Source organism: Homo sapiens, chromosome 14, assembly GCF_000001405.40.
Source record: "Homo sapiens chromosome 14, GRCh38.p14 Primary Assembly".
In the NCBI taxonomy this organism is placed as follows: Eukaryota; Metazoa; Chordata; class Mammalia; order Primates; family Hominidae; genus Homo; species Homo sapiens.
In genome coordinates this window covers 98,792,069-98,811,303 of record NC_000014.9, presented here as the reverse complement: position 1 = coordinate 98,811,303, position 19,235 = coordinate 98,792,069, and the positions used below count along the sequence as shown (strand labels likewise).

General features: G+C 44.1%; 1 long non-coding RNA gene across 1 annotated transcript; it reads left to right on the top strand.

Moving 5' to 3' along the window:
- The first annotated feature begins 13,041 nt into the window (after positions 1–13,041).
- LOC124903403 (uncharacterized) lies at positions 13,042–19,018 on the top strand. The gene is made up of 3 exons (XR_007064379.1): positions 13,042–13,209; positions 13,427–13,518; positions 17,689–19,018. It is a non-coding gene; the product is annotated as an uncharacterized LOC124903403 (long non-coding RNA).
- The last annotated feature ends 217 nt before the right edge of the window (positions 19,019–19,235 follow it).

Here is a 19,235-nt window from a genome sequence, read left to right as displayed (position 1 = left end):
ACACCTGCCAAAGGCTTCACTTTGCTTTGCCTTCCTATCTTTGACTTTGGAATTTGAGTATTTGAAAATACCACAATGTGTCTTTTCAGCCTATTTAGGATTGGGCTTTTTTTTTTTTTTTTTTTTTTTTGGCATTTGCAACCAGAACAATCCTAACTTCATGTATTCATTCTTTCATGTCTTGATCAATTCAGCAAATATTTGTGAAGCTGCTGCTTCCTGCCCAGCACTGTGCTAGGTGGTAACACAATAAGAAAGAGGATGGGATAACAGGGGCTGAGAAATTACGCAGTGTCTGTTTGCTTGCTCTGAAATATTTCTTCTCTTCCATGCCAAAAGGTCTAGATGCACATTTCCTGTATATCCAAAATTTTCAGTAACTTCTCTTGGCTTTAAAACGTGCACCCTGCCTCCTCTTCTACCAGGAATTGTCTTCCTTCTTCATTTTCCTTGAAAAGGATAGGCACTTCTGTGAGCCTTTTCCCCCCCATGGAATGAATAGGTTCAATTCAGTTTAATAAACTCCCTATCTTCAGAGGGCATGAGAGTATATGAGAAGGAACGAGGCACAATTCCTACCCACAGAGGACTCAACAAATGGTAGCTGTGATAGTCGCACACACAGACATCTCCATTGCAACATGATGAACAAAATAAGAGTGGTAGGACCCATTGTAAAGGGAACACCCCGGACCCAGTCATCCCCTCCAGGAAGATTCACTTGGAAGGATTCAGGGAGAAGTGGTTAATGGTACCACCTGCTGCAGGAAGACAGATTTGGAGGCAAAGATAATGACTCTGAAGGTTTTAGGTTGTTGCAGCTATTGTGATAGACTCGAATAGTTCCCCTCATCAGCACAGATTTGGGAAGAGATAGCAGGGAAGTCAGGGGTGCATTCAAGGAGGCGCAGGAGTTGGACCATGTACAGAAACATGTCAGTTTTTCAATTCTTCTATCTTGGAACCCTTAGGAGGTCTTGGCTTTGCAAAACAACATATTACCTCTGAATCTGAATCTCTGAAATGCTGGCAGGGGGGCCAGTCCAGCCGGCACTGTTGCCATATGTGTTTAGAATTTCATGCACAATAATTAATTTCCATTCTGCAAAAATGAATAATTAATATAGCATCCCACGTCAATTGATCCAAACAGAAGTTGACACATATTAAGAGACACACGCTGCTGAGCAAACTTTTTAAACTGAAGCGTTTTATTAACAAAGCAACTTTTAAAAATTCCTTATCTACCAGACAATAGGAACTGAACATATTCCAACAAAGAGGGCAGGCCAAGCAGGGGGTGTCGAGTTGCGATTTCGGGAGGGGGAGGTAACGGGAAGATTACATTCATTTGAAGTTGCCTGTGGGGGAGCCGGTACGGAGGTGAAGGATGCTCCAGGGATAGAAGGAAAATAAAGTGACAGCCTTAAAGAAATTTAAGAGCTAAATATCTTACTTTGATTTTTAATTATGCAGCCATGATGGAGAAATATGGACAGAGTGATAGTAAAATTAGGGAGATGAAAAAACTATTTCAAAAACTGCCCATGACAAATACTAGTTAGGAGATGCAACAGCATCCCGAAGGCTTTATCATCCCTGTCTGATTCAAAGGTGCTCTTAATAAGTCAGTTGAAAATGTTGACAGTGTTACAAGTTTGCGGAGGACAAGAAGCTGAATTGAAAATACCTGGACCATATGACAAGGATCTAAAAGATCTTCTTTGATCAGAACTTTGAGACACCATGGAATATATCATCATATAATTGTTATCATTTTCATGATTGTTAATACTGTTGTTAATTCTAACATCTTCCATTTATTCAGAGCACTCTAGGTCAGACGCTGTGCTGGGCACCTGAAATGCTTTGGTGCTCCTGATGAGAAGAGAGCAGGCACAGCTGCCCCGACTTTCTGGACTAGGAAATAGGAGTTAGCAATAAGGTGCTCCCGGCCCCTTACACAGTGAGGAAGGTTGGAACCTGGACTCGTGCCTGGATCTGTGACTCCAAGTCTTCTGCTTATTTTGTAAAATAGGGCTATCTTCCCTTTAACAGGAGTGGAGACAAGTTCCAGATGTGAGGACTTGCAAAACAAACAAATAAACAATTTCCTTAATTGAGGAAGGGAAAGAAATAGCATAATAAGCATTTGCCCTTGGGACCCTGAAAGTCTTGGCTCTGGGAAGCACTGGCGTTTACAAAATCTCATGTTACCAGCGTGGTTTTCAAGAAGGGTAATGCAGGTTTTGGCCACATGAACGGAAGAATGATTCTTAGAATGAGGGAGGTGCTGGTGTCAGTGTGCCTGACTCAAATCAGTTATGTCCTGAGGGTTGCATTCTGCTTGGGTGATGCATTTCAGCAGCTGTCTAGACCTCCAGGAGGACAGTAGGAAGAGGCCTCCTGGGATGGTTGTGGGACTCGAGGACCATTGAGGGAGCTCTTCGGTTTGCTGAAGATGGGGCTTCTGGAGCTAGAATCATGCCCTCTGTCCCCTGAAAGATCTCCTACTTGGAGATTTTCTGACTCACTCCACAGGCCAGAAGAGGCACCGCTGGGGTGGTAACTCTCAGACTGAGACTAAGTCCCAAGGAGAAAACCCAACCTTGGAGGAATGCAGTGGCAGACGGCCAGGGAGACACATGACATGCCTCCAGGTGCCAGACGCTGGGTTAAGGTGGGGGCAGATGGAAGCGAGGGAGGTACAATCCTTGTTCTTTGGAGAGGAAGAGGGAGGGAGAGAGACAGGGAAGAAGGGAGGGACAGAGGATGGGGATCAGGGAGGAAAGGAGAAGGGGAGAGAAAAGAGAAGAGAGAAGAAAGTGAGAAGTGAAGAGAGGTGCCCGGCCAACCCCAGACTGCCTTAGCCACCCTGGTGAGGCACCAGACTTGTAGGGAGGAAGCTGTCTTGGATGTCCAACCTAGCTGAGCCTTCAGATGACTTCCGCCCTGGCTGTCATTTGTCTGCAGACACGAGAGAGATATGAGGAACCAGGAAAGAGAATAACAAATACTTGGGGCCATATGACAAGGCTCTAAAAGATCTCCTTTGATCAGAATTTTGAGGCACCATGGTTTAAGCCGTAGAATTTGGGGTGGTTTGTTACATAGCGATGGGGAACCAGAGGAGATGTCCACAGCTGCGGCAACGTTTCTGTGTGGCCTTGATTTTCTCTAACAGGCTGGCCTGGGCTTGTTTCATGGTAACCAGGCAGCTTTTTTTGCAAAGCAGAAGTGTGCAGGGCCTCTCAAGGCCTTCTCTGAGAATGGGCACAGTGTTCCTTCCACTGTGACCACACGGCCAGCCCAGAGTCAAGGTGTGGGAAGTAGATTCATTGTCCCTTGATGGAAGGTGTTGTGCTCATAGTGCAAAGGTTGTGGATATGGGGAGGGGAATAATTGGGGGGCATTCTTGGGATGCTCCTGTGAGCTTTCTAGATCTGCTTACGAAAAAGCATTGAGGTGAAGAGTGATGGCAACGTGACCATTTCAAGTGATGATGCTGTGAGCTGAACAAGCATGTCATAGTTATGAGCCAGAAAACACTTTTAAAATCTTTTTTTTCAACCCTCCCATTTTACAAATGAAGACACAGAATATCCAAGAAGCTAAGAGGTTCCAAAGGCCAACGGATCCCAAGGGCCATGGGATCTTTTGTGGGAAGGCATGGACATTGGAGCAGGCTGGCACCAATATCATCTGGCTGGGTAACCTTGGGGACCTCCTGTAAGCTCAGGCTCCTCCCCTATAAACAGGGGCTGTTGGCGCTCTCAGGAATATACAGACAGTTGCCACCTACCAGGTGCCCCCGAACAAGGGGTCACACTGATGATTGTTACTGCAAGTTGTGGCCTAGAACCTGGGTCCCCTGGTTCCTAGTTCAGTCCTCTTCCCGCTTCATCAATGGCCACTCAATAAGCTTCCAGATCCAGATCAACTCATACCCAAAACAGGAAGGAATGTCAGGTCTGGAGAAGCGAGCTGGGATAAGTGAACACCACCGAACGTCTGTGGATGTCCACGCGGTGACCTGCTGGGTGCTAGAAAGAGCCAGTGAAACACACCGGGCATCTTCTCTATGGAAGCCAGTTTTAACTGCTGTGTGTACGTGTATGTGCGCCTGGAAAAATATCATTATCTTTTCATAACAACTCCCACATCATAGTGGCTGACAGAATAGATTTACTGCTTAACGTAAATGTTGAATTTCTACACTAAAGCCATGTGGTCTCAGTTAGAGGAATCACAAACAATTTATTGATTTTTTCTAAAAAAAATGACTGCAGAAAAATTACACCTTGATGATAGGGTGTGGAAGACCTGGAGCAGGACTCTGGTTAAGAACAGAGGAGGAAATATTATGAATCAAAAATTAGTGGATGTCTGTGAAACAAGTATGAATGGAATGTAGAGTAAAAACAACTCTTTGCTTTGTCACAAATATCATATTGAGGTGCCGACTTATTTCTAGAAGATAGAATCTGAGAGGTACAATTGCTGTTTAAAACTGTATTTGCTAAAATAGTGTAGCATCTTAGATAAATATTGAAAAGGCTGTCTGGCTCTGGGGCAGCTCACTGGGCCCAGTCTTCAGGTTCAAGTTGCTCTTGAAACCGAAGCCAGAGAGCAGAGTCAAGGTCAAGTAGATGAGGAGGAAGGAAAGCTCCTTAAATGACCTTGGACAAGTTAATGAACTCTGAGGCTCAGTTTCCCTCTGGAAATGTATTCCAGATTAGAGAGCACTGGTTCCTTCCAGCTGTGGGGAAGGTTTGCATCTATAAATGTAAAGCTCTGCCCATGTACTGGCAAGGTAGCTGCACACACCAAGTGCACACACACACACACACACACACACACACTTACTAAATCAAATACCAAAGACCTAAATTTTATTAAATGCATTTTATGACAATATGAAATGAAGCCAGAGTCCAGCTGAATGAAAGAACTAATGCTGTGTGTGTGTGTGTGTGTGTGCAGACACAGTTTGCACATGGCCACCTACAAGCAAAGGTGGGGTGCAGGGAGAGGGTTATGTCATAACCATATGCTCTTAGCACTATTCTTGACTTGGAAGTCTGTTATTCATTGGGGTTTAAACACATCAGGTTTAATACCTGTAGCTTCTTATTTTGCTTTATTTTAGTAGATTTTTTTTCCTAAATAAAAAAAAAAGTTAGTTAAAGTAAAAGAACTGGAGGGGGCCCAACACTCAGCCCTCCCATTCTTTCTGTGAGTAAGTGGGTACTGGAGCCTTCTGCAAGAGGGCCGGCACTCCAGGTAGGTGCAGTCGATGTGGAAGGCATTGGTCTTGCTGTATTCGTTTTCATCAGAGATTCCCAGCTTACACTCCACAGCTTCATTGCATTAAAATCTATGACTGTTGAAATTTCAGGGAGAAACATTGATCTTTCTTTTGCCCATTAACCCTTCCCCGCACCTTCCGAGAAAATCTGAACCAACCTGTCTACCTTCATTCCAAAGTTCTTTTCTCCCACCAAACACAGCTCCACCTCCTTGCACCCTAACTCTCCAGGGGCCTCCCCATCCTATCTGCAGGGACAGGTCTTGTGGAAAGACAGGACGCTGAGGGTCGCTGAGGGGGCGGGTTCCTGGGGGCCAGGCCAGGGCAGCATGTGGGGCTTTCCTGGAGGGTCCCCAGCAGAGAAGCCCTCTCTCTTCTGTTGGCCCCTTTGTGCAGGGAGCTCTTCCACGGGGGCCACACCAGGATGTGCTGAGCTGCCAATCACACCATCAAGGCACCAAGTCATGCAGGTGCAGATGTGAACTCTTGGGAGGAGAATCCCTGGTAAATTCATTCACCTGACTTTTTTCTTTTTTCTTTTTTTTACCAAGACGGAGTGTTGCTCTGTCACTCAAGCTGGAGTGGAGTAGCACAATCTTGGCTCACTGCAACCTCCGCCTCCCAGGTTCAAGTGATTCTCCTGCCTCAGCCTCCTGAGTAGTTGGGATTACAGGTGCCTGCCAGCATGCATGGCTAATTTTTGTATTTTTAGTAGAGACAGGGTTTCACCACGTTGGCCAGACTGGTTCCGAACTCTTGACCTCGTGATCTGCCTGTCTCAGCCTCCCAAAGTGCTGGAATTACAAGGCTGAGCCACTACGCCTGGCCTTTTCTTTTTTTTTTTTTAATTGTGATAAAATACTCGTAACATGAAACTCATCATTTTAACCATGTTTAAACGTACAATTCAGAATATTGTACAACCACTATCACTATCTACTTCCAAGAATTTTTTTATCATCCAAAGCAGAAACTCTGTCCCCACTGAACAACCCCTCATTTCCCCTCTCACCAGCCCCTGGTACCCACCATTGTACTTCCCATCTCTATGAATCTGACTACTCTAGGGGCCTCCTATAAGTAGAATTGTGCAGAATTTGTCCTTTCATGACTGGCTTCCTTCACTCAGCACAATGGTGTCAAGGAGTGCCTGTGTTGTAGCATGTGTTACAATTTCCTTCCTTTTTAAGGCTGCATAATATTCCATTGTATGTATACCACATTTTGTTTATCCATTTGACTATGAATGGACATATGGGTTGCTTCTGCCTTTTGTTTAGTGTGAACAATGCTGCTATGGACACGGGTGTACAAATCTGCATTCCAGTTCCTGCTTCCGATTCTTCTGGGTATATTCCCAGAAGAGAAATTGCTGGCTCACATGATAATTTCGTGTTTAACTTTCTGAGGAACTGCCATACTGTCAGCTGGCCTTTGAGTTCTGACCTGGGGTCTGCAGATGTGTGGATCTGCACAGGGCAAATCTGAAGGCCCTTCAGAGGCAAAATGGGTTGCAAGAGGCTTCGAGGGGTTGAGCCATCTGTTCTGTCATGGACACTGCTGATTCAGCGCCACTCCCACGCAGACCCCAGTTGCTTGAGCATTTCAGTTTTGTTCTGTGTAAATTTCCTGGAGTACCAGGTATGTGAATTCTTTGCCAGAGCCTTCACAGAGAGATTTTTAGACACGTTACACAGGAGAAGATGAAGCTTGGGGAGCTGCAGAGATGGCCTCCAAGCCACAGACGGCCAAGTCAAATGTCAGCTCCTCCACTCCTGGGTAGGAGCTTGGGCTTATTAGGCAAACTCTCTGGGCCTCAAATGCCTCCATTGTAGAACACAGGCCAGCACACCCTCCGAAGGGTGTGACTTAGGAATGCGAGATGATGTGCTCAAGCACAGCGGTGGGTATGGTCTAAACAGTCACATTTATCAGCCCTGAACTAGCAAATGACACGGCTGGGATTTCCATCCATATCCACCTGATTTTGAATTCCATGCTTCTTCCACTGCAATTCACATAGATCTGGATTCAGTTTTATCTGTAAAAAGAAACCACAAATACCCTCCTCCCAGAGCAGCTGTGAGGAGCCAAGGGGTTGGTTTATGTGAAGAGCTTGCCCATTCTTTGGGACAAATAAGCACTTACCACTTGCCAGGTGCTGGGCTGGGCTGTTCAAACATGATCTCATTGTGTGTATCTCTACCATGGTCCTTCAAAATGGGGATCATGCCACCTTGCAGGAATCATCAGGAGAGAAGGAGAAGTCCACTCAAGGCTTCACAGCTACAAAGTGGTGGAGCTGGGTACAAACTGATGTCCACATGACCCCAAAGCCAGTGCTCATAACACAGGGCTGTTTAGCTTCTTAGATTTCCATCTAGGATCAGCCTCTCAGCCCACTCTTGCTGGGGGTCATTTCTGGGAGATCTAAAGGCATGTTCACCCATCTCCATTCCTCGGGCCAGGCCCTTGGCCTGCAGCAGGAGGGGTGGGCAGTGTCTAGGAGGAGGCAGGCAGAGGCTGCCTGTGTTGGGCTGTGTCTCCCGGCTGACGCCACGGCCAGGGCCGCCACTGTCTCTGACTGGTTTCCTGAGTCTGGATGGGTCTGAGGTTTCCTGTTTCCCTGCAGCTCAGGACTGGCCTAATTGGAAAGACATGTCAGGCTGATGTGTCCAGCATGCTGGAGATGAGAAGGAGGAGGAGAAGGAGGAGGAAGGGGGAAGTTCAGTTTGCTCAGGTCATGTCTGTAGAGGAACTTGGAAGCAGACCCAAGGGGAGGATTGGAGACCATAGACCTCATGGGTGGGAACAAACAAGAGATTCTCTGAGGAGCTTCCCTGGACCACAGAATCCAGACCCTTCTGGGCAAAGCAATTTGGAGGAGGAAACAGAGTCTGCTCTTTGCTGCTCTTCAGCCCTGGGCAGTGTTCCTGGCTCTCTAAGCCTCTTTTTCTCACCATTAGATGGGTGTGGTTCTACTTCACAAAGATGGGAGCCCATGGATGGCCATGTGCTTTGTATAATGACCGACGAGATTCTGAAAACCTGGGACAAACATCTGCAGGTGAACAAATACATGTAACTTTTAGAGCATACCACCTAGCCCCTGAAGAAACTGCGTGAAGTCACAGCACTATGTGAAGTCATAGCACTATGAGAAGTTTGCCAGTTCTCTTCAAAGTGGATAAAGAAGGGAACTCCAGCAAGCAGTGCATATTGGTGAACACTTGTACCCTGTTGGGTTTCACACCAAGGAAACGAGAGGACAGGATAGCTCCCCTTTCTACAGGTTTACTCTCAGATTATTCTTGATCTGGTCAAGAAATCTCTGGATTCAGGTTTAAGCTTCTTGCTCCCAATGTTAATACTGACGGTGGAATAGAAACATTCCCCTCCATCATTTTCTTCTCTAAGCATCTGATGGTCCTCAGTTTTCTCATCTGCAAAATGGCTATCAAGGCATTGCCTTGGGGCTTGAATGGGGTGGGCAGAGTAAGGAGCCTGGCTGAGGGCCAAACCCATGCTCAGTCTCTATTTAATACTGTGGCTGCTGGTCCTCCTCCTCCCTAAATATGTGTGGATGCCTCTGGTCAATTTATCTTCATGACTCTCCAATGCTGCCAGCAGTCCCCCTGCCCCTGCACTGGGGCTTCTTGGTGAGCAGGCGCAGACGTGGAGGCTGGACTTCATGCTGTGAAGGGGACTCCCACATGCCTGTAGAAACCATGGCCACCACAAGTAACATTTCATCCCCCGGCTCGTGGCAGCCGGCCACAGGGACATGCACCAATGCACGAGGCTCAACTCACGCTGGCACATGGGTCTATCTCCCTGCAGGGCTCTGGGAGGGCGGGGAGTCCCATGTCCCTACGCCCACAGTTCTCTGGCCCTGAAGTCCAAGGGGTCCAGACTTGTGCAAAATAAGGACCTGGGATGCTAAAGGCATATTGGTAGGAAGACCTAGCCCTTCCCTTGTTCCTGCAGCCAGCACAATCCATTGTTCAGCCAGGCTGGCCCCCATGGTTCCTCCCACCAGCGATGGCAGGGGGTCAGACAGTGAGAACCTCCCAGCTGGCTCTAGGAAAAATGGCAAAGGAAGCAAAAATTTCTGCAGGATTTCGAAGAAACAGTGTGGCATTGCAAGGGTTTTGCAGTCAGACGTGAGCTTCATTTGAACTCTGACAGCCACTAGCTGTGTGGTCTTGAACAGGTTGGCTCAAGTCTCCAAACTCAATCTTATTCATCTGTAGAAACGGGGATGGTGTCTGCTGTGTGCGTGTGCCTAGGTGTGCCTGTAATGATCAACCATGAAGAGGCTCCAGGTAGAGCCTCTGGCACATGCTAGGTGTTCAATAAAACTAAATTCACGTGGAAAGAGTGAATAAGACTTAGTAGGTGATAGTGCAGCAACAGGGTGACCAAAGTCCATTGTAATTTAATTGTACATTTAAAAATAACTAAAAGAGTGTAATTGGACTGTTTGTAACACAAAGGATAAATGCTTGAGGGGATGGAGACCCCATTTTACTTGATGGGATTATTACTCATTGCATGCCCATATCAAAACATCTCATGCACCCCATAAATAGGTACACCTACTATGCACTCACATAAATAAAAATAAAAATAAAAAAATAAATAAATCCACTCTCCCCTCCTTTCCTCCAGTGCGCTGTTACATGGCTGTCAACCACTTTTCAGCTACTAGCTCTCAAGCACCTACTATGTGCTAGGCATTCCATTCCATTGCAGAAATGTGACTGACAGCAACTTAGACACAGCCACCGTGGCTCTTAGAGTCTTCTGAGGAAGGATATGTAGACAAGCAGTCATGCCCCAGAATGGCCCTGGCCATTGGTGGTGGTAGAGGGGGGTGGGGGAAGTGCAGGTGGTATGGGACATGAGAAGAGTTTCTATCTGCTTCAGTCACTCAATAAGGATTCATTAGAAACCTTGGCTTGCTGTCTGCCAGGCACTTGGTGTACCGAGATGGATAATAAGTGGTTTATGCTCTCGAGGAGCTTATGGTCTAGTGGGGCAGAGGGGTATGCACACAGATAGTTGCAGAGTTTAGAATTAAGATCACTTGAGAGTACAGATACTGGGGCCAAAATATACCTTTTTAAGGCAGCATCCTTTAGGGAGATAAGATGCTTCCACTCTGGACAGCACAGCCTTGACTGTAATGGAGATCTGGGGTAGAACCTTGACTCTAGCCTCAGATGATCAACCTTCACCTTCGTTTCCCTGTTTGTTGAGTAGGGGATAAAGGGATCTAATGAGAGAGTTTAAGTCCACCCCTAGGCTAAGTATTTTAACAATGTTAGCTTATTCGATCTATAGTTAGGTGGGTACCATTCATGTTATACAAAGAAGTAGACACCAAGGAGATAAAGTGACTTGTTCAAGATCTCAAGGCCAGTGTGCAGCAGAATAGGTGTGAAACCTAGACTGATTTGGTCCAAAAATCCCATGCATTTTGTTGTTGTTGCTGTTATCCTTGCACTTTGCCTCCCTGGGTAGGACTAGTTGACACCCACTGTCCTGACTCTCACTTAGAATTTACTCCAAGGCAAGATGCTGTGGACTGTCACAGTGCACCTTCCAATGGCCACTCCATGGAGAAGGGTGACTGTGAATGGGATGCTGTCCAATTGTAGGGCTCTGTGCATCATTTCTCAAGCAGAAGGTGCCAGAATCACCAGACCCAGAGGAGACTGTTTTCCTGACCATATTCGGAGGAAGCCTCTTTGCTCTGTGTTTATCTAATTGATCCCAGGGCTGGGCAGTGGTGAGCCAACGTGAGGCATTTGCTGACTATATGCCATTCTATTTTTTGAGTTGGGATTCACAGGAAAGTGAAGCCACATTTTTTTGCAGCCAAGGGGAGTGGGGCCAGGCATTTGAACAATGGGTTGTCTCCTTGGCCACCAGGCCAGGCATAGTCATATTTGGTTATGTGTGGGGCAGGAAATAATTATTTATCAGTACATTTATTTTCAGGGCTCTGGGTAACAGGCGATTGAATCCAAATATGGCCTGGAGAAAGCTTTAGTTCTGTTATATACTGTCTTCTTCTCCTGGCGCTGATTCTTTTAACTTTTGCAATTGTCCTTTAAACAATTCCAACTACGTTTTTCAGTGAAATTATCCCCATTAAACACACAGACACACTGCTTTTTAAAGAGAGGGTAATAAAGGAAACTTCATGTGGATCAAGCACTGTACAGAGAATTGCCTTTTGGGGCCCTGTGGATTCTGGAATCAGAACTGAGTTGGAACACTGCCTCCATCAACTACTGGCTCTGAAATGTTCAAGAAGTTATTCAATCTCTCCCAGTCTCAGTGTCCTCATCTGTGCAATGGGTATGAGAATTCCTACCCACCATGGTGTTGCAGGGGTAAAATTAGATAATACGTTTCAAAGCACTTTGACACATGTATCTGTCCTGGGTTGAATAGCGTCCCCCCAAATTCATGTCCTTCTCAGAAGCTCAGACTGTTTTGAGGTGGGTTTTGGGGGACCCTTACCATACATAGAGATGGAGGTCATGTGGAGACAGAGGCAGAGCTTAGAGTAATATAGATATAAGCCCAGGAGACACAGGATGCAAGGCCACCGAAACAACCAGGGAGAGGCAGAAAGAACTCTACACCTTGATTTCGGAGTTCTGGCCTCTAGAACTGTGACAGAATAAATCTCTGTCTTTTTTTTTTTTTTTTTTTTTTGAGATGGAGCCTCACTCTGTCACCCAGGCTGGAGTGCAGTGGCATGATTTCGGCTCACTGCAACCTCTGCCTCCCGGATTCAAGCAATTCTCTGCCTTAGCCTCCCAAATAGCTGGGATTACAGGCACCTGCCACCACGCCCGTCTATTTTTTGTATTTTTAGCAGAGACATTTCACCATCTTGGCCAGGCTGGTCCCGAGCTCCTGACCTCGTGATCCACGCACCTAGGCCTTCCAAAGTGCTGGGATTACAGGTGTCAGCCACCATGCCCGGCAATCTCTGCTGTCTTAAGTCATCACCCAGTTTGTGATGACTTTTCTTATGGCAGTCCTAAGAAAGGATCTACTACCCAACAAATATTTTTATGGAAAGCCTAGCACAGAACCTGGCACAGAGGCCCAGAATTTATTATTTGCTTGAACTTGGTGTCTGGAGATGCCTAGACATTGGTCTGGTTCAATAAATATGAGTTCCTTTCTTTCTTCTCTTATTTCTGTTCTCCACTTAGCCCTCTGCAAACAGCTCAGCAGAAAACCTTAGTCAATTTTGCATGCATTCACATAATATGCAAATGCAGGGCACTGGTTTATTTTATACTGAGACCATATATACAAATTCTACTTATATATACAGTTCCATATAAAGTACCATGTCCCCTGTAAATAGACTTTTTGAAGTTTACAGAGATGTTTTGAGCTGTCACACTCTTCCCAGGTGGTGTGTTACCATCAAATATCTGAGTGGGCAAGTGTAATTTATGTAGGCATATATCATGCTTATAAAGGCCAATGCCATTTCTCCAGGCCCCCGTGAACACTTAGGGCTGACAGTGCCTAAATAAACTGGTTTATTTACTGCAGTAGTTACCTGTTTAAGACTGGCCATTACGTTAAGTAACACAGAGTGCCCAGACTAATAAATTTACAGCGTGCCTGTTTGTTTTACTGAAGAATTTATTGCAGCAGTAATAACTGTCAAAGGGTGAGGCTGGTGAAAGGGCCAGAGCTACACAGAGGATCTATCACATGATCAGCTTCCTGACAGCCCTCTGGGGAGCTCTTTTGTCACCAACACAAGCACCTGAGTGGATGCCTTGGATCAACGGACAGGGAACTTGGGAATCAGCTTCTTGGGGCAAGATCACCTCTTCTATTTGACCCATATGGATGTGAGTACCAGGCTTTCTATGTTGTGGGAGTGATTTACAGCAAGGCCCTGGAGATTGACGCTCATGGATTTGATGATGCTTCATGCCAGCCAGAAGAGGGGAATCCCCTGCTTTCAAATCCTGGCTAACTAGATGGTGATCGGGGAAAAACTATTTACAGTATGCAGTCTTATATTTTCTATTCTTAACTCATATGTGCTTTTTGTTTTGAGACCAGCCAGGGGCCTGAGGAATGAAGATTAGATTGGATTGGATAGGATTGGATTAGAAGCCTTGTGGAGTGGCTTGACACATGGGTTTTGGAGGCAGGTAGGTAAATTCTGATCTTAGAGTGGTCATTTATATGTTGTGCAGCAGCGAGTAAATGTATTTAAATTCTCTAAGCCATGCATCTGTCCTCTGAAAAACTGGAATAATTCTCTATTTTACAAGGTTTTTGTGATGACTGGAGGAGATATTATTCACGATGCTGCTCCTATTGCCATTTGATCCACATTTATAGACTCTAGGGTTCAGACAAAAAGAAGACAAGAAACAGGTTTTCTAGTCTGGCCCTTCCCTCTCCCTATTTTGCAGAAGGAGAAACTATGAACATGAGAGGACCATTGACTTTTTCAAGGTCAGCCTGCAAATTTGTGGCAAAGTCTTGGTTAGACACAAGGTCTCCCAAGTCCCAATCCTGCCTTTGAGTCAATCAATCATTCCACAAATGATTATGGAGCACCTCCTATGGGCTCATAACAATGGCAGAAAAGATGGGATATTTGTCGGTCCTGCCAGGTTCAGCCTCAGGCTTCTCCGGCTCTCAGGTGTCAATCAAAGGACCAGGTATTGAGTAGAAAAGCAAGAGAGGTTTGTGAAATGAATAAATGACAGCCCTGCCTAAGAATGTAATGGCACTGTGAAAAACACAAGCAAAGAATTTTGAGGGGGTTTAGAGGAGGGTCTACTAGTCCTCTTGGGTTGGGAAGGCTTTCTAGAGCAGGAAATACCCTCTCTTTGTCCTGATAGACATGAGCAGCCAGCCAGACAGGGAACAGGTTGGCATTTCGAATGGAAAACAGTATAAGGAAAAGCACTTTGAAGATAAAAAAAAATCTGCTTAAAGCGGCAGAAGTGTAGGTTGAGCGTGGTTAGTTGGGTAGATGAACTATGTGTCTGGGAGGTGCATGTCTTGGGCGAGCTTTCCTTACGTCCTCTGTGGTGATCCTATAAGGCTCTGTGAATCAGGCACTGGAGGGGTTATTGTCCCTACTTTTCAGAAAACAGGCTTCAAGTCTGGAGTGACCTGCCCAAGATCACTTAGGTAGCATTCATTCATTCATTCATTCACATAGAACCTACTACAAAATTTATGGGACAAATAAAAATATAGAACCTTTCCTTCAAAATTGTTAAAAATTTCAAGACAGCAACAGCAGAGCATTAATTAGGTGCAGGGCCATTCTGGACTTGGGGCCATGTGCAATGGCACAGATCATGTGCCCATGAAGCCAGCCCTGGTTCCACAGGTATTTATTGTGTGCTTACTATATGCCACCAGCAGTTCAGGCACTGGGTATACAGGAGTGAACAAGCAAGAGGTGCCCCCCTCCTCTCCTGAATTATTTGGGTGTTGGGTGGGGGTGGTTGGAGGGAAGATACAATAAACAAGTAAAGGGATCAATGAATGAGATGATTTCAGGCACTAATGTGTGCTAAGAAGGACCTAAAACTTTCAAGGGTGGGATGGAATAGGTAATCAGGCATTACTGAGTCGGTGAGCTGATGTCTAGGTGATGAGATGTTGTGGAGATCAGGGGAAACCGCACTCCAGCCAAAGAAAAAGCAAAGGATCTAAATGGAGCACAAGCTTGGAGCATTCAGGAGGAGGCACCGATGCCGAAGGGGTTGTAGGAGCAGGGAGGCTGCAGTGTGTGTATCTTGCGGGCCCTGCAGGACGTGGCAGGGGGTGCTGGATGAAAGACACTGGACAGTGCTGCGGAGGGTGACCCGGCAGGAGCATGGAGGCCTCTGGGCCAGGATGGCTCTTCATCAGCCTCTCCTCTCAAGGGTGGGAGCTCTGGGGATCAGATGCCCCTGGCTGGTCACATGGCTCAGTAAAGAATGATGTGAGAGTATTGTTTTCAACTGACAAGTAGAACATTAGATGACCACTTAGGTGGTTGTCATGCAACTCGTGTCCAAGAAATTATAAGAAAATGGGGATGGCATTTGGTGGTAGGGATAAACAATTTTTCTTTTGTTGAAAACTCTGATAATTATGAAAAAATGCAAGCGGTTAAGTGAAAAGAAACTTAAAATTGTCATTTCAAATCACTCAGAAGTAACAATTATCTAACATTTGATAATCATCAGTTGGACACTTTTGTGTATATAATAGGAAACAAGTTAAAATATAGCTAGAAAGAATACATATTGCTAGTACAAATTATATTTCTGGTTTTTATAAAATCAAATGCATATTTTTTGCTTCACTACAAAAACAGCAGCAAGAAACTGAACAACTTGATTTATAGACACATGTTTCTTCATCTAAAAATGAGATTCATTATGGAAAAACTTGAAGAATTTTTAGAAGACTCTCTCAACTTTAAAGAGTACCTACTGATTTTTTCTATAAAAGATGAAAAAATTAGCATGTCTGTGCTTTCTTTTATGCCTTCCTCTAGTCCCTGATTTTTGTCAGTTACATTATTAATTTTACATTTGAATTTTGTGTCATTTTTACAGTTTATATGTTTTTTACATTTATGAGTTTGTTAATTATACTTTTTACAATTGTTTAATGACACCTTTACGTTTGAATGAACTCAATGCCTTTTATTAGTCTTCTTAACATAGCTTCTCTATTCCTGAGCTTGTTTTTTTATTTTAATTTTTTTGAGATGGAGTCTCACTCTGTCACCTAGGCTGGAGTGCAGCGGTGCGATCTGGGCTCACTGTAGCCTCCGCCTCCTGGGTTCAAGCCATTCTCCTGCCTCAGCATCCTGAATAGCTGGGATTACAGGCGAATGCTACCACACCCAACTAATTTTTATATTTTTAGTAGAGATGGGGTTTCACCATATTGGCCAGGCTGGTCTTGAACTCCTGACCCCAAGTGATCTGCCCGCCCCGACTCCCAAAGTGCTGGGATTACAGGCGTGAGCCACTGCACCCAGCCAAGTTTGTTTTTTTATTCCCAGCATTGTTAACTGGGTTTAGAGTCCAGCAGATTTTAAAAGAATGAGTCAGGGCTGCTAGAGTCCTCAAGTACTCCATCCTTTGATACCTTCTATTGTTTTTATGGCTAAAGACTAGCTTGCTCTCTATGCAATTTAGGAGTACATTGTTTTCCCTCAAAACTTTGTTTGGAACAGTCAACTCTCTTCTGACATTGAATAGCTGAGGTTCATTCTGGGTAATTTGATTCTCTTGTTTAGATATCTTCATGATTTGTTTTGTTTCTCTTTGAGGGTCAGTCATAGTACTGGGATTTTATTATTTTTTCCTGAAATATAACATGTTTTTTGTTTTGTAGATTTTAGTGTTTATTTCAGAATTTTTTTAAGATGCCATGGATAATTTGTTTGATTTTTTTTCCTCCAGAAGCACCAATTATACATTTATTGGCTCTTGTTTAGCTCTTTTATATGTTATTATCCTCTATGTAATCATTTTTGTTGCTTTTCTTTTCATTTTACTTTGTGCCATTTCCTGAAGTTTACTCTCCAAGTTTTTTTGGTTCTGAATTGTGTTTATCTTTTTTCTTGTTTCCAAAACTATTTTCATCTCTAATATCATTTTCTTTTACATTTCTTTCTTTTCCAGATTATCAGCTGTTTTTATGTCTGATAACCTCTTCTTTGCACCATTGTATAACTTCCTTGAGTTCAATTCTATAGAGAAAAATCCCCTCAAAGCTACGTATAATTATTTTGTGATCTATTTTTTTATCCTTATGGGTAATTCCTCCTGATATCTATCTATATCTATGTCATCTACATAGATATAAATATATAGATATGGATATGGATATTCAACATGAATATATATGGATATATTCATATACATGGATATATAAATATATATATATGTTCATCTCTCTCTCTCTCTCTCTCTTTTTTTTCTTAGACAGGGTCTCACTCTGTCACCTAGGCTGGAGTGCAGTGGCACAATCACAGCTCACTGCAGCCTTGACTTCCTGGTCTCAAGTGATCCTCCCACCTTAGCTGCCTGAGTAGGTCAGACTACAGGCACTTGCCACCGTATCCAGCTAATTTTGTTTTTTGTAAATATAGGGTTTCACCATCTTTCCCAGGCTGGTCTTGTACTCCTAGGCTTAAGCGATCCACTTGGCTTGGCCTCCCAAAGTGCTGATATTACAGGTGTGAGCCACAGTACCTTGCCCCTACCTATCTCTTTTTTATATCTCTTTTCTTTTCGTTTTTTTTTTTTAGTATCATTAACATGTATTATGTCCAAAATTTGTTTCAGCCTACCTACGGACAAATGGTATGAAGAAGGACGGGGAAAAGTGAGCTGGGGCAGATGGAAGCCTCAAGTCTGACAAAGTGAATCTTTCATCCTCTTCACAATACCTAGGATGTCTTGTATCCTGGGAGATACAAGGCATTTTTTTGTTGTTGCCTCAGTTTTTAATGTTCAAATGCTGCTGTGGCTAAGAGTAAGGCTGCAGATTCTCTGTGCTGCCATCTTGAATTCCCACCTGCTCTCCCTCTTGGGATCCTTTTGACCTCCACAATATTTATCTGCTAAGAGACAATGAGGCCATGAGTCCTGCAGCCCACACTTCTTCAGACAATTTATATTTTTGGATGAGATCTCCAGAAGGGCATTGCTCACCTCTTCTATATTTTGCAAACAATTCTAGAATCTTAATCAAAGAACCATTGGCTACACATTGGCTACACACTGGCTACATTGCTCAAAAAGTTGGCATTTTAGGGACAACGTACTCCGCTTGAGATCCAAGCTGGTGGAGTTTTTCTTTGCTTAGTATCCTCCACCATCTAGGTTTTAAACTAGATGTTGTTTGGCAGGTGTGTCCCATAGCTTTCGGTTTGTGGTGGTGCTTCCCTTGTGTCATCTTCTCTCTTATTCTCATTCCTTTTTAAAAATGTTATTATTTTTGGTAGGTTTAAGAGTTGAGCATCAAGCAAAAATGTACTTTCTTAACCATCTTCAAATGAACAATTCCTGTGACTTTTAGATTAAGAGAGATGATAATCTAGGGCTTCTATATCTCCCGATTTTAATTGTAAGACAGATGCAAATTTAGCTTAAGAATTTAGGCTAAGAGCCAAGGGATCGTAGGATCAATATTTATATGTGGCCCAAATAAGTTTTGTCAGGAGGAATTTGAGCATAACAATGATAATATTGACTATAGCTGCTTGAATGCCTATGATGGTCCAGGAGCTTGGTTGATGCTTTGCTTATTTCAATTCAAATCCAAACAAGAACCTGCAGCCCACACTTCTCCAGACAATTTATATTCTTGGATGGGATCTCCAGAAGGACATTGCCACCTCTTCTATATTTTGCAAACAATTCTAGAATCTTAATCAAAGAACCACTGGCTACACATAGGCCACATTGCTGAGGTGAGGTTTGTTAACCCCATTTTACCAGAGGAAAAAGAGAAAAGTGAGAATATGAAAGATCAGGTGCCTGGATGATAAATCACTGAGCTTGCATTCAAAATCAAGTGACTTTCACTTCCTGATTCCTCCTCCTATTTTTCTCTATAGACAATATGTGAAGTCTAAAAATAAAATTTTAATTCAGTAGAAGTTTCAGCAAACCCTAGTAATTTCTTTTTCCTCATGCCCTTTGCTTTGAGTTTAATCTCTGTGGCTATTTTAGCGGCACCTCATGGGTACTTTTCCCTGGGCTCACTTATTATCAGTGTCCATTCACTAACCAGTGTATAACGGGAACTGTTAAGTGTGCCTGGATGAGAAGGGGGCTTTTTTTGTACTTTTATAGCTATTATTGATGGGTTCAATAATTTGGTCTAT